The sequence below is a fragment of the Homo sapiens genome, chromosome 10, assembly GCF_000001405.40.
Source record: "Homo sapiens chromosome 10, GRCh38.p14 Primary Assembly".
Lineage (NCBI taxonomy): Eukaryota > Metazoa > Chordata > Mammalia > Primates > Hominidae > Homo > Homo sapiens.
In genome coordinates this window covers 89,442,636-89,455,929 of record NC_000010.11, presented here as the reverse complement: position 1 = coordinate 89,455,929, position 13,294 = coordinate 89,442,636, and the positions used below count along the sequence as shown (strand labels likewise).

At 39.7% G+C, this 13,294-nt stretch overlaps 1 protein-coding gene across 7 annotated transcripts in view; it reads left to right on the top strand.

Moving 5' to 3' along the window:
• SLC16A12 (solute carrier family 16 member 12) overlaps positions 1-13,294 on the top strand; it is a 126,406-nt gene that overhangs the window by 100,775 nt on the left and 12,337 nt on the right. For all 7 annotated transcript variants that reach the window (XM_047425223.1, XM_047425221.1, XM_047425222.1 and 4 more), the window contains one exon: positions 12,071-12,174. In XM_047425223.1, the coding sequence (XP_047281179.1) occupies positions 12,071-12,174 (104 nt within the window). The remainder of the gene's footprint in view (positions 1-12,070; positions 12,175-13,294) is intronic.

Genomic DNA, 13,294 nt, shown 5'->3' with positions numbered 1-13,294 from the left:
ATGAACAGAGCCTATGAACACTGAAAGTTGTTAGGAGTTGTTTGCTACTGCAGCATAATCCAGCCCATTCTGACTGATGCAGTCATGTTTACCAAAATGCTAATTTTAGAGATAAAGAAACTGAGGCCCTGAGGGATTAAGAAGCTTTATCAAAAACCTCAGTTACCTAGGGTGAGAACCAGGGATCAGGACCCTGCTTCACTGTAAAATATTCCAAAGAACAACCAAAATAATAAAAATAATTTCTGGAGTGAGATGCACACATGCTCCCAATAAAATTTCATTTATTTAATATCATGCCTGTGTTCAGAGGCATACATCATGAAACTACTACTCAAAAAGTTCTGTGGTGCTTTTCCCCTTTGAGAACAGATAAGTGATAAAATATTCTTCCCATATTTCATGAAAGTCACAATCATTCAGAAGCCTGTATGTGGTTATTAGAAAGTTTGCCTTTGTTAAGCCTGCTTACATGTTTAGACAAGAATTTCAGGTATTAATTTTGATTTCTGTATATCTAAAGTTTGATTCATATGACTGATTAAGTCATCTAAGAAAACCAGCAAGCAGAAATCAAAGTAACCTTTAAAAAAAGTGACAAGGGACAGACATGGTTACACTACTAAGTTCCCCAAAACAATTTAGTGAAAAAAAGAGATTATTATTTATAATTTGAAAATATCATCATCTGGGGGCCCTTTTCTCTTAGACATCATGTGATCCTCTTACATCTCCAGCTTCTGCATCTCCCTCTTGTGGATTTGTTTTCTCAGCTTGTAACACTCATTTTCTTCACATCCCTACTTTACCTCACCTAACCACATGTTCCTATATAGCTACCATCCAGTCTTCCTCCTTCTTCCCTTTCTCATTCATAGTTCTTGAAGTTGCTACTCAATCATTTTCACTTCCTTGTCTTCTAGTCACTTCCTCTACCAACTTTAATCCTTCCTCCTTTCCTTCCTTCCTGGCTTGCTTCCCTTGAAAAGTGTTTTATGAACACCAAGTATATGACAGGTACTATACTAGATATTTGGGATTCAGTGTGAGATAAGACAGACATGGTCTTTTCTGTCACAGGGTAACAGTCTAGTGAAGAATATAAACAAATGCAAAGGAAATTGCCACACAGTGTGATAAATGTCCAGCATGTAGTTGAAACACGTAAGAGTGGAATCAAGAGAGACTTGAGTGGTCAGGGAAACCTTCCTGGAGGAAGGTTATCTTGAGACTAAAGAATGTGGGAGGTTGGGAGAGCATGCTAGAAAAGAAAAAAAAAAGTGAAGGCTCAAAGATATTAAAAAAAAAATCATGGGTGATGTGTTAAAAGAGGCAAGCAGAAGTTCAGTATTGCTGAAGTGAAGAGCCCAACAGATGCGCAGAAAGGAGGCACACTAAGAAGGGCTAGCTCATGCAGTCTCCTAAGTCAGGTTAAAAAGTATGAAGCATTAGGATCTGATTGGTGTTCTAGAACATTGGGTGTAGAATGTACTGAAGGTAGCCTGGTGTGAATTCAGGAAGATTAGGAGGGTTTTGGCTGCAGTACCAGAGAAAGGTGCTGGTGTGAATGATGAATGGTAAGGGGGTTAGAGATATTAATATGTTGAGGAATTTGAGGGATATATATGAGATAGTGACTTATGCCTATAATCCCAGCACTTTGGGAGGCTGAGACGAGAGGATTACTTGTGCCCAGGAGTTGGAGACCAGCCTGGGTAACATAGGAAGACCTTGTCTCTAGCTGGACATGATGGTGCACTCCTGTGGTTCCAGCTATTGGAGAGGCTGAGGTAGGGGGTAGGCGAATCGCTTGAGCCCGGGAGGTCAAGGCTGCAGTGATCACACCACTGCACACACACTGCACTCCAGCCTGGGCAACAGAGCTGAGACAAATGAAGGAAGGGAGGGAGCGAGGGAGGGAGGCAATAAAAGTAAAAAGGTTAAAGAGAGAGAGAGAGAGAATAAGTAGAACTTGGCAATTGAGTAGGTCAGTGGTTCTCGGGCAGACTGATTTTGGTCTCCAGGGTGCATTTAGCAATGTTTGGAGACATTTTGGGTAGAAGCCAGGGATGCTGCTAACCATCCTACAGTGTGCAAGAAAGCCCCCCACAACAAATAATTACCTGGCCCAAAATGTCAATAGTGCTTCCACTGAGAAGCCTTCGGGTAAGGATAACTAGACTACAGTCATGTGTTGCTTAATGACGGGGACGTGTTCTGAGAAATATATCATTAAGCAATTTCATTGTCATGTGAACATCATAGAGTGTACTCACACAAGCCTAGAAAGTAGCGCGTACTGCACACCTAGGCTATGTCGTATAACCTATTGCTCCTAAGCTACAAACCGGTACAGCATGTTACTGTATACTGAATACTGTAGACAATTGTAACACAATGGTAAGTGCTTGTGTATATAAACATAGAAAAGGTACAGTAAAAATATGATATTATAATCTTATGAAGTCACCATTGTCTATGTAGTCTATTGTTGATCAAAATGTCATTATGTGGTACATGTCTGAATTTTATAATGAGGGTAAATCCAATAAATCATTATTCACTTAAATTGAAGTCCTAGTGGTTAGGAGAAAATAATAAACTTTTTAGTATTAGACTAGCAATTTTTAAAATGTTAAGAAACATCATAAGGTTTTTGTTGTTGTTTGCACTGAATTAAAGCTAGTTTGACTGTTGCAGTTAATCAATGCCAGGCAGTTTATGTTACCATTCTCTCTGTCGTTGGGTGTGACTGTTTAGTACTCCAAGTTCTGATATAATTATTAATCTAGCGTCAGATCTGCTGCAGCATGTCTGGTTTCTTAAATCACTGGATAGAGAAGGACCACTTTTTATACCCCTTTGACAGAGAATTACATAGAGCATTCGTGTGGCATACAAGAATGGGACTGCGGTGAACACAGAGATGTGCCACTCATTTGGCCTTAGCTGCAGGGTGTACAGTCAGCAGAGCCTGCAGCTGTCAGTTCTTAGGTCCCCCTCACCTGCAGAAAGCTGCGTCTCCCAAGAGCAGACCCCTGGGCGTAGAGGGGGCACCCACCGCCAATGGCTGATTGAGGACGTGCATCAGGGCTGAACCATTTCATTTGGGATTGACTGAGAATTTGTTAGGCCTGCATTGCAGTTCGACCTCTCTGCCTAATCCTGCATCCTTCCCTTTCCTTCTACAAGTGTTGATCCTTACTGTATGCCCTGCATGCCAAACTTCATCCCACCTTCTGCTGGGACTTAGAATTTAGCTCACCACACTGTTCCATTTTTTCTTTCCTACCACAAGGATCAACAACAAAATTATAGGGCCCAGTGCAAAATGAAAATACAGGGCCCCTTGCTCAAAAAGCAGGGGAAAATGCTGTTAAATGTACTAAAATAGAAAGCTTCTTCCTTTCTTCAGTGGTCTCTTTAAATTTTTCATGATGTTTAAATTTGCTATTTAATGTTATTCTAAGTAAAGAAAATGAGAGTGTGAAATAATTAGAATGAATTGACCACACATTTTTATGTTATGCAATGTCAGCTTTAAATGCAAATATGAGTCTTGAACTCATATATGGAATCACTGAAGTCAAGCAACTCTTATTTTATAGCTCATACATACATACATATTTCATTTTCCATCAGAACAGTAGAAACCCTGCACAAAACTAACTCAACTGTTTTTATTTGACTTCCTGAAACTTGCACATCCTATCGACATTCTCCTACCTTCAGCTTATTGATGAGTCAGGAAGGACTGAAAGGGAATGGAAATATGGGTTGGCTGATCTTTCCATTTCCTTCTATGCCATCACCCTCAACATTAGTGGTTTGTTAATACAAGGAAGTGATATGAATGAAAAAGGATATGATAGAAATCCTTGGTCCTTTGTGATTCTTATAACACCACTGCCTTCTTTCTGCATTTGAAGCAGGTTTTGGTTCAAAAGGAAAGCATAGCCTCTTGGGGCTGGTAGACACTTCATTCCCTATCCCCAGGCCTGCTAAGCTGTAGATGTAACACACTTACCTCATACTGGCTTTGAGTCCTAACTGAACTCTCTCAAATCGTGGGCCTAGCAGAACACTGTGCTTATGGGACATCTCTAACACTATGTGTGAATGGTGCATCACAGAACTGCAGAAACACATATTGCACGTATCTCCGCCACTCACATGAAGTCTCCATTGTTCCATTGCACTGCACTTATGAAACAGAAATTCAAACATAAAATTATTAAGCTTGTAATCCCAGCACTTTGGGAGGCCGAGGTGGGCAGATCACCTGAGGTCAGGAGTTCGAGACCAGCCTGACTAATATGATGAAACCCTGTCTCTACTAAAAATACAAAAATTAGCCGGGCATGGTGGCGGGCGCCTGTAATCCCAGCTACTCGGGAGGCTGAGACAGGATAATTGCTTGAACCTGGGAGGCGGAGGTTGCAGTGACCCGAGATTGCATCATTGCACTCCAGCCTGGGCAACAGGAGTAAAACTCTGTTTCAAAAAAAAAAAGTTCAGTCAGTGACAGCCAAGCATTAAATCAAGTTTCATGCTTCTAAGTGCCAGGCTCTATGTGACTGTGTAGGCTGCACTCCCATGAAGCCGGCCCTGCCTAACATGGCAGTCTTGTTTATACCTGGTTCTCTCCCTTCTTCTCCAAGCTCTTCACCACCTACTTTCACACCCAGCAGCAACTGGGGAGGAGAGGGAGAGTGAACATAACAGGTTACTATGGATTGTTAAAGCACAATTAATTGGAACTTAGCTCCAAAGAGATTAATAACCTCTTATCTCATCCCCAAGCCACAGGCCTGATTTCTTCCCTACTGTTATCACCGGGCTATAAAAGCTTCCTGCCTGAATGAGGACGCCATGCTAATCCATATAAGGCTTTTCCAAGTTGCACAGTGATGCAAACTATTGCTTCTGGTTCACATGTCTTTCTCTAAGTAATTAACTATTTTTCAATATAAATATTTCTTTCTCTTTCTCTGCACATACACACATACACACACATATATACACATTTCTGGTTACATAAGAAATCATGTTTATTGTAAAGTAATTGAAAATGCTCTATAAAGATTAAAATAATTATTTCTAATCTCACCATTTACATATAATGATTAGGTACATTTTAGTGTATAAGCTTTCAGGAAATTTTCTTTTTTTTATTATACTTTAAGTTCTAGGGTACATGTGCACAACATGCAGGTTTGTTACATATGTATACATGTGCCATGTTGGTTTGCTACACCCATTAACTCATCATTTACATTAGGTATTTCTCCTAATGCTGTCCCTCCCCCATCCCCTGACCCCACGACAGGCCCCAGTGTGTGCCGTTCCCTGCCCTGTGTCCAAGTGTTCTCATTGTTCAAGTTCCACTTATGAGTGAGAACATGCAGTGTTTGGTTTTCTGTCCTTGCGATAGTTTGCTCAGAATGGTTTCCAGCTTCATCCATGTCCCTACAAACGACATGAACTCATCCTTTTTTATGGCTGCATAGTATTCCATGGTGTATATGTGCCACATTTTCTTAATCCAGTCTATCATTGATGGACATTTGGCTTGGTTCCAAGTCTTTCCTATTGTGAATAGTGCCACATTAAACATACGTGCACATGTGTCTTTATAGTAGCATCATTTATAATCCTTTGGGTATATACCCAGTAACAGGATCACTGGGTCAAATGGTATTTCTAATTCTAGATCCTTGAGGAATCACCACACTGTCTTCCACAATACTTGAACTAGTTCACACTCCCACCAACAGTGTAAAAGAGTTCCTATTTCTCCACATCCTCTCCAGCACCTGTTGTTTCCTGACTTTTTAATGATGGCCATTCTAACTGGTGTGAGATGGTATCTCATTGTGGTTTTGATTTGCATTTCTCTGATGGCCAGTGATGATGAGCATTTTTTCATGTGTCTGTTGGCTGCATAAATGTTTTCTTTTGAAAAGTGTCTCTTCATATCCTTTGCCACCTTTTTGATGGGGTTGTTTGATTTTTTTCTTGTAAATTTGTTGAAGTTCTTTGTAGATTCTGGATATTAGCCGTTTGTCAGATGACTGGATTGCAAAAATTTTCTCACATTCTGCAGGTTGCCTGTTCACTCTGATGGTAGTTTCTTTTGCTGTGCAGAAGCTCTTTAGTTTAATTAGATTCCATTTGTCAATTTTGGCTTTTGTTGCCATTGCTTTTGGTGTTTTAGTCATGAAGTCCTTGCCCATGCCTATGTCCTGAATGGTATTGCCTAGGTTTTCTTCTAGGGTTTTTATGGTTTTAGGTCTAACATTTAAGTCTTGAATCTATCTTGAATTAATTTTTGTATAAGGTATAAGGAAGGGATCCAGTTTCAGCTTTCTACATATGGCTAGCCAGTTTTCCCAGTACCATTTATTAAATAGAGAATCCTTTCTCCATTTGTTATTTTTGTCAGGTTTGTTAAAGATCAGATGGTCTTAGATGTGTGGTGTCATTTCTGAGGCCTCTGTTCTGTTCCATTTGTCAATATCTCTGTTTTGGTACCAGTACCATGCTGCTTTGGTTACTGTAGCCTTGTAGTACAGCTTGAAGTCAGGTAGCATGATGCCTCCAGCTTTGTTCTTTTGAGTTAGGATTGTCTTGGCAATGCAGGCAGTTTTTTGGTTCCATATGAACTTTAAAGTAGTTTTTTCCAATTCTGTGAAGAAAGTCATTGGTAGCTTGATGGAAATAGCATTGAATCTATAAATTACTTCAGGCAGTATGGCCATTTTCAAGTTATTGATTCTTTCTATCCACGAGCATGGAATGTTATTCCATTTGTTTGTGTCCTCTTTTATTTCGTTGAGCAGTGGTTTGTAGTTTTCCCTGAAGAGGTCCTTCACATCCCTTATAAGTTGGATTCCTAGGTATTTTATTCTCTCTGTAGCAATTGTGAATCGGAGTTCACTCATAATTTGGCTCTCTGTTTGTCTGTTATTAGTGTATAGGAATGCTTGTGATTTTTGCACATTGATTTTGTATCCTGAGACTTTGCTGAAGTTGCTTATCAGCTTAAGGAGCTTTTGGGCTGAGACGATGGGGTTTTCTAAATATACAATCATGTCATCTGCAAACAGGGACAATTTGACTTCCTCTTTTCCTAATTGAATAACGTTTATTTCTTTCTCCTGCCTGATTGCCCTGGCCAGAACGTCCAACACTATGTTAAATAGGAGTGGTGAGAGAGGGCGTCCCTGTCTTGTGCCAGTTTTCAAAGGGAATGCTTCCAGTCTTTGCCCATTCAGAATGATATTGGCTGTGGGTTTATCATAAATAGCTCTTATTATTTTGAGATACATTCCATCAATACCTAGTTTATTGAGAGTTTTTAGCATGAAGGGATGTTGAATTTTGTCAAAGGCCTTTTCTACATCTATTGAGATAATCATGTGGTTTTTGTCTTGGGTCCTGTTTATATGGTGGATTATATTTATTGATTTGCGTATGTAGAACCAGCCTTGCATCCCAGGGATGAAGCCAACTTGATCTTGGTGGATAAGTTTTTTGATGGATTTGGTTTGCCAGTATTTTATTGAGGATTTTTGCATCAATGTTCATCAGGGATATTGGTCTAAAGATCCCTTTTTGTGTGTGTGTGTGTTTTTGCCAGACTTTGATATCAGAATGATGCTCACCTCATAAAATGAGTTAGGGGGGATTCCCTGTTATTCTCCTGATTGGAATAGTTTCAGAAGGAATGGTACCAGCTCCTCTTCGCACCTCTGATAGAATTCGGCTGTGAATCCTTCTGGTCCTGGACTTTTTTTGGTTGGTAGGCTATTAATTATTGCCTCAATTTCAGAGCCTGTTATTGGTCTATTCAGGGATTCAGCTTCGTCCTGGTTTAGTCTGGGGAGTATGTGTCCAGGAATTTATCCATTTCTTCTAGATTTTCTAGTTTATTTGCATAGAGGTGTTTATAGTATTCTCTGATGGTAGTTTGTATTTCTGTGGGATTGGTGGTGATTTCCCCTTTGTCATTTTTTATCGCATCTATTTGATTTGATTCTTCTCTCTTTTCTTCTTCATTAGTCTTGCTAGTGATCTATCTATTTGTTGATCTTTTCAAAAAACCAGCTCCTGAATTCATTGATTTTTTGGAAGGGGTTTTCTTGTCTCTGTCTCCTTCAGTTCTGCTCTGATTTTAGTTATTTCTTGCCTTCTGCTAGCTTTTAAATTTGTTTGCTCTTGCTTCTCTAGTTCTTTTAATTGTGATGTTAGGGTGTCGATTTTAAATCTCTCCTGCTTTCTCTTGTGGGCATTTAGTGGTATAAATTTCCCTCTACACACTTCTTTAAATGTGTCCCAGACATTCTGGTACATTGTGTCTTTGTTCTCACTGGTTTCAAAGAACATCTTTATTTCTGCCTACATTTCGTTATTTACCCAGTAGTCATACAGGAGCAGGTTGTTCAGTTTCCATGTAGTTGAGTGGTTTTGAGTGAGTTTCTTAATCCTGAGTTCTAATTTGATTGCACTGTAGTCTGAGAGAGAGTTTATTGTGATTTCTGTTCTTTTACATTTGCTAAGGAGTGGTTTACTTCCAACTATGTGGTGAATTTTGGAATAAGTGTGATGTGGTACTGAGAAGAATGTATATTCTGTTGATTTGGGGTGGAGAGTTCTGTAGATGTCTGTTAGGTCTGCTTGGTGCAGAGCTGAATTCAAGTCCTGGATATCCTTGTTAACCTTCTGTCTCGTTGATCTGTCTCATATTGACAGTGGGGCGTTAGTCTCCCATTATTATTGTGTGGGAGTCTAAGTCTCTTTGTAGGTCTCTAAGTCCTTGCTTTATGAATTTGGGTGCTCCTGTATTGGGTGCGTATATATTTAGGATAGTTAGCTCTTCTTGTTGAATCGATCCCTTTACCATTATGTAATGGCCTTCTTTGTCTCTTTTGATCTTTGTTGGTTTAAAGTCTGTTTTATCAGAGACTAGGATTGCAACCCCTGCTTTTTTTTTGCTTTCCATTTGCTTGGTAGATCTTCCTCCATCCCTTTATTTTGAGCCTATGTGTGTCTCTGCACATGAGATGGGTTTCCTGAATACAGCATACTGATGGCTCTTGACTCTTTATCCAATTGGCTAGTCTGTGTCTTTTAATTGGGGTATTTAGCCCATTTACATTTAAGGTTAATATGTTGTATGTGAATTTGATCCTGTCATTACAATGTTAGCTGGTTATTTTGCCCATTAGTTGATGCAGTTTCTTCCTAGCATCGATGGTCTTTACAATTTGGCATGTTTTTGCAGTGGCTGGTACCGATTGTTCCTTTCCACGTTTAGTGCTTCCTTCAGGAGCTCTTGTAAGGTAGGCTTGGTGGTGACAAAATCTCTCAGCATTTGCTTGTGTGTGAAAGATTTTATTTCTCCTTCACTTATGAAGCTTAGTTTGGCCAGATATGAAATTCTGGGTTGAAAATTCTTTTTCTTTAAGAATGTTGAATATTGGCCCCCACTCTCTTCTGGCTTGCAGGGTTTCTGCAAAGAGATCTGCTGTTAGTCTGATGGGCTTCCCTTTGTGGGTAACCCGACCTTTCTCTCTGACTGCCCTTAACATTTTTTCCTTCATTTCAACATTGGTGAATCTGATAATTATGTGTCTTGGGGTTGCTCTTCTCAAGGAGTATCTTTGTGTTGTTCTCTGTATTTCCTGAATTTGAATGTTGGCCTGCCTCACTAGATTGGGGAAGTTCTCCTGGATAATATCCTGAAGAGTGTTTTCCAGCTTGGTTCCATTCTCCCTGTCACTTTGAGGGACGCCAATCAAATGTAGATTTGGTCTTTTCACATAGTCCCATATTTCTTGGAGGCTTTGTTCATTTCTTTTTATTCTTTTTTCTCTAAACTTCTCTTCTCATTTCATTTCATTAATTTGATCTTCAATCACTGATACCCTTTCTTCCACTTGATCAAATCGGCTACTGAAGCTTGTGTATGCGTCACGTAGTTCTCATACCATGGTTTTCAGCTCCATCAGGTCATTTAAGGTCTTCTCTATGCTGTTTATTCTAATTAGCCATTCCTCTAATCGTTTTTCAAGGTTTTTAGCTTCCTTGTGATGGGTTCGAACATCCTCCTTTAGCTCGGAGAAGTTTGTTAGTACTGACCTTCTGAAGCCTACTTCTGTCAACTTGTCAAAGTCATTATCCGTCCAGCTTTGTTCTGTCGCCGGTGAGGAGCTGTGATCCTTTGGAGGAGAAGAAGTGCTCCAGTTTTTAGAATTTTCAGCTTTTCTGCTCTGGTTTCTCCCCATCTTTGTGGTTTTATCTACCTTTGGTCTTTGATGTTAGTGACCTACAGATGGGGTTTCGGTGTGGATGTCCTTTTTGTTGACGTTGATGTTATTCGTTTCTGTTTGTTAGTTTTCCTTCTAACAGTCAGGTCCCTCAGCTGCAGGTCTGTTGGAGTTTGCTGGAGGTCCACTCCAGACCCTGTTTGCCTGGTATCACCGGCAGAGGCTGCAGAACAGCAAATATTGCAGAACAGCAAATATTGCTGCCTGATCCTTCCTCTGGAAGCTTTGTCTGAGAGGGGCACCTGGCTGTATGAGGTGTCAGTTGGCCCCTACGGGGAGGTGTCTCCCAGTTAGGCTACACGGGGGTCAGGGACCCACTTGAGGAGGCAGTCTGTCCATTCTCAGAGCTCAAACACTGTGATGGAAGAACCACTGCTCTCTTCAGAGCTGTCAGACCGGGACATTTAAGTCTGCAGAAGTTTCTGCTCCCTTTTGTTCAGCTATGCCCTCCCCCAGAGGTGAAGTCTGGTTGAGCTGCAGTGGGCTCCACCCAGTTTGAGCTTCCTGGCCACTTTGTTTACCTACTCAAGCCTCAGCAATGGCAGATGCCCCTCCCGCAGCCGGGCTGCCGCCTCACAGTTTGATCTCGGACTGCTGCGCTAGCAGTGAGCAAGGCTCCATGGGCGTAGGGCTTGCTGAGCTAGGCACAGGATAAAATCTCCTGGTGTGCCATTTGCTAAGACCATTGGAAAAGCATAGTATTTAGGTGGCAGTGCCCCAATTTTCCCAGTACAGTATGTCATAGCTTCCCTTAGCTAGGAAAGGGAAATCCCCTTGTGCTTCCTGGGTGAGGCAATGCCCCACCCTGCTTCGGCTCCCCCTCCATGGGCTACACCCACTGTCCAACGAGTCCCAGTGAGATGAACCAGGTACCTCAGTTGGAAATGCAGAAATCACCTGTCTTCTGCATCAATCACGCTGGGAGCTGCAGACCAGAGCTGTTCCTATTCGGCCATCCAGGAAATTTTCTATTTACATAAACTGTTTTTACAAAAATAAGTTCCTACTATATGAACTGTTTGGTAACTAACTTATTTTTTACTTAACATTATATTGCAAATTTATTTCCAAATCAATATATACAGATCAACATCATCATTTTTAAGACTTACTATTTTATTTTATTGATATGCCATAATTTATTTAGCCACTCCTTTATTGATGAACAGTTACATTGGTTATGATATTTGGCTATTCTCCAGAATATATCCTCTTATATATCTATTATTATTATATCCCTCAGAATATATCCTTTTATATACACATATATATAATTTTATAGACTAAATTAGTTCTCCAGAATATATCCTTTTATCTATCTATCATCAATATCACCTGATTATTTCCTTTATATAAATCCTAGAGGTGACATTGCTGGTGATATATAATTCTTTATTGTCAAATCTTAATTTGTATAATAACCTCTCAGAAGAAGTTAGCAAAATACAAAAATAAATAAGAATCCATGTTCCTGACCTGCTTTTGTTTCCATAAAACCTTCCTTAGAGCAGTAGTTTTCACATCTACTTGGCTTTAGTAGCCCCTGTGGTGGTTGAACACTTGTTCTTCTTGTTATCCAGCATGGCCCAAATGGTCAGCTTCTGATTTCCCACTTATTATGGTCTAGCAATTAAAACCCTTGGAAACAGGAGCAGCTAATTGAACCAAACATTTTAAGTTCTGGCTCAAATGCATGCTCATTCATTTTTTGTATAAAATGCCTGCATTGTATTTTTCAGATGTATCTCAATTTTTTTTGTGGAGTTCCAGACATACTTCACTCAGGATTACGCACAAACGGCATGGATCCATTCCATTGTAGATTGTGTGACCATGCTCTGTGGTGAGTATTACTTACTAGGATAGGGAATTACTGGCCACTCTTGAACTGTATATGACAATGACATTCCACTGACTTTGATTACTAGTTTTCCTAAGTAGAAGGGCTACATTAAAAACTGGCTAGGACTATATAATATAAAGAAAAGATCAATCCTATCTTCAGCCAAAGCCAACCAGACTTGCTCTTGTAATTAATGGTCTTGGCTGATGTCAGGTAGAACAGTTAGATAATACACTCAAAAGAACACGTAAGATTTGGTTCTTCCATATAGAGATAGGACGCTGAGCATTCTAGAACACGTCCTGATTTTGGAAGCAATTTATAGTATATGCTTGGCTTCTCTCTTCCAAATGCTATGGCCTTCTCATTCTCAAGTTGTGTAAATAGTTATTGATAGTACCATGAGCCATTTTTACATAGTCATAAGTGCCAACAGTGTTGTATCACATCTCAAGTCTTGGATTGCATTCTGTTCCTCCCCCAGGGCTTGACATTTGGCTCATGGATTTCATCTTTTTCATATATAAATCTTCATGCTTAGAGAAGTATTGGGGAAGGATAGGATTATGTCGTCATGAGATAAACATATTCATTATGGGTGTAATTTCATTCAAGGAACTCCGAAAGTGTTATATAAGGTATGTAGGGTGTTCTAGAAATGTATGGAATTAACATTCCATCTGTGTAGTAGAGGACAACAAACCTGGCATTTGTTTAAAATAAATTTCAAACTCACGTTATTAAATTGATGTCTTAGAGAGTTTCTAAGATTAAATCAAATTGTTTGTAGCTTAGACCCACTTAATCCATTCATTTCAATGAGTTCTGAGTATTTTCGGAAATTTTCATCTCTTCAAGCCATGTCTTAGTGGCAAAAGGGAAATAATACCTGTATTCAGTAACTCATAATAACCATTTTATTCCATTCTAGGCACTGACTCATATTTCTTTTTGGAAAAAAAATTCATTTACTCATGAATCAGTTAAATTGTACTGAAATGTATAATATTTGTTTGGTTGGGAGGAAGTTGAGAGCAGTTCTAAGACTAAAAGCAGGTTTCATGAGAAGGCTAAATCAACTCAACTCTTTCAACTAAGAAGAAGGTCTTAAGGGATCAAA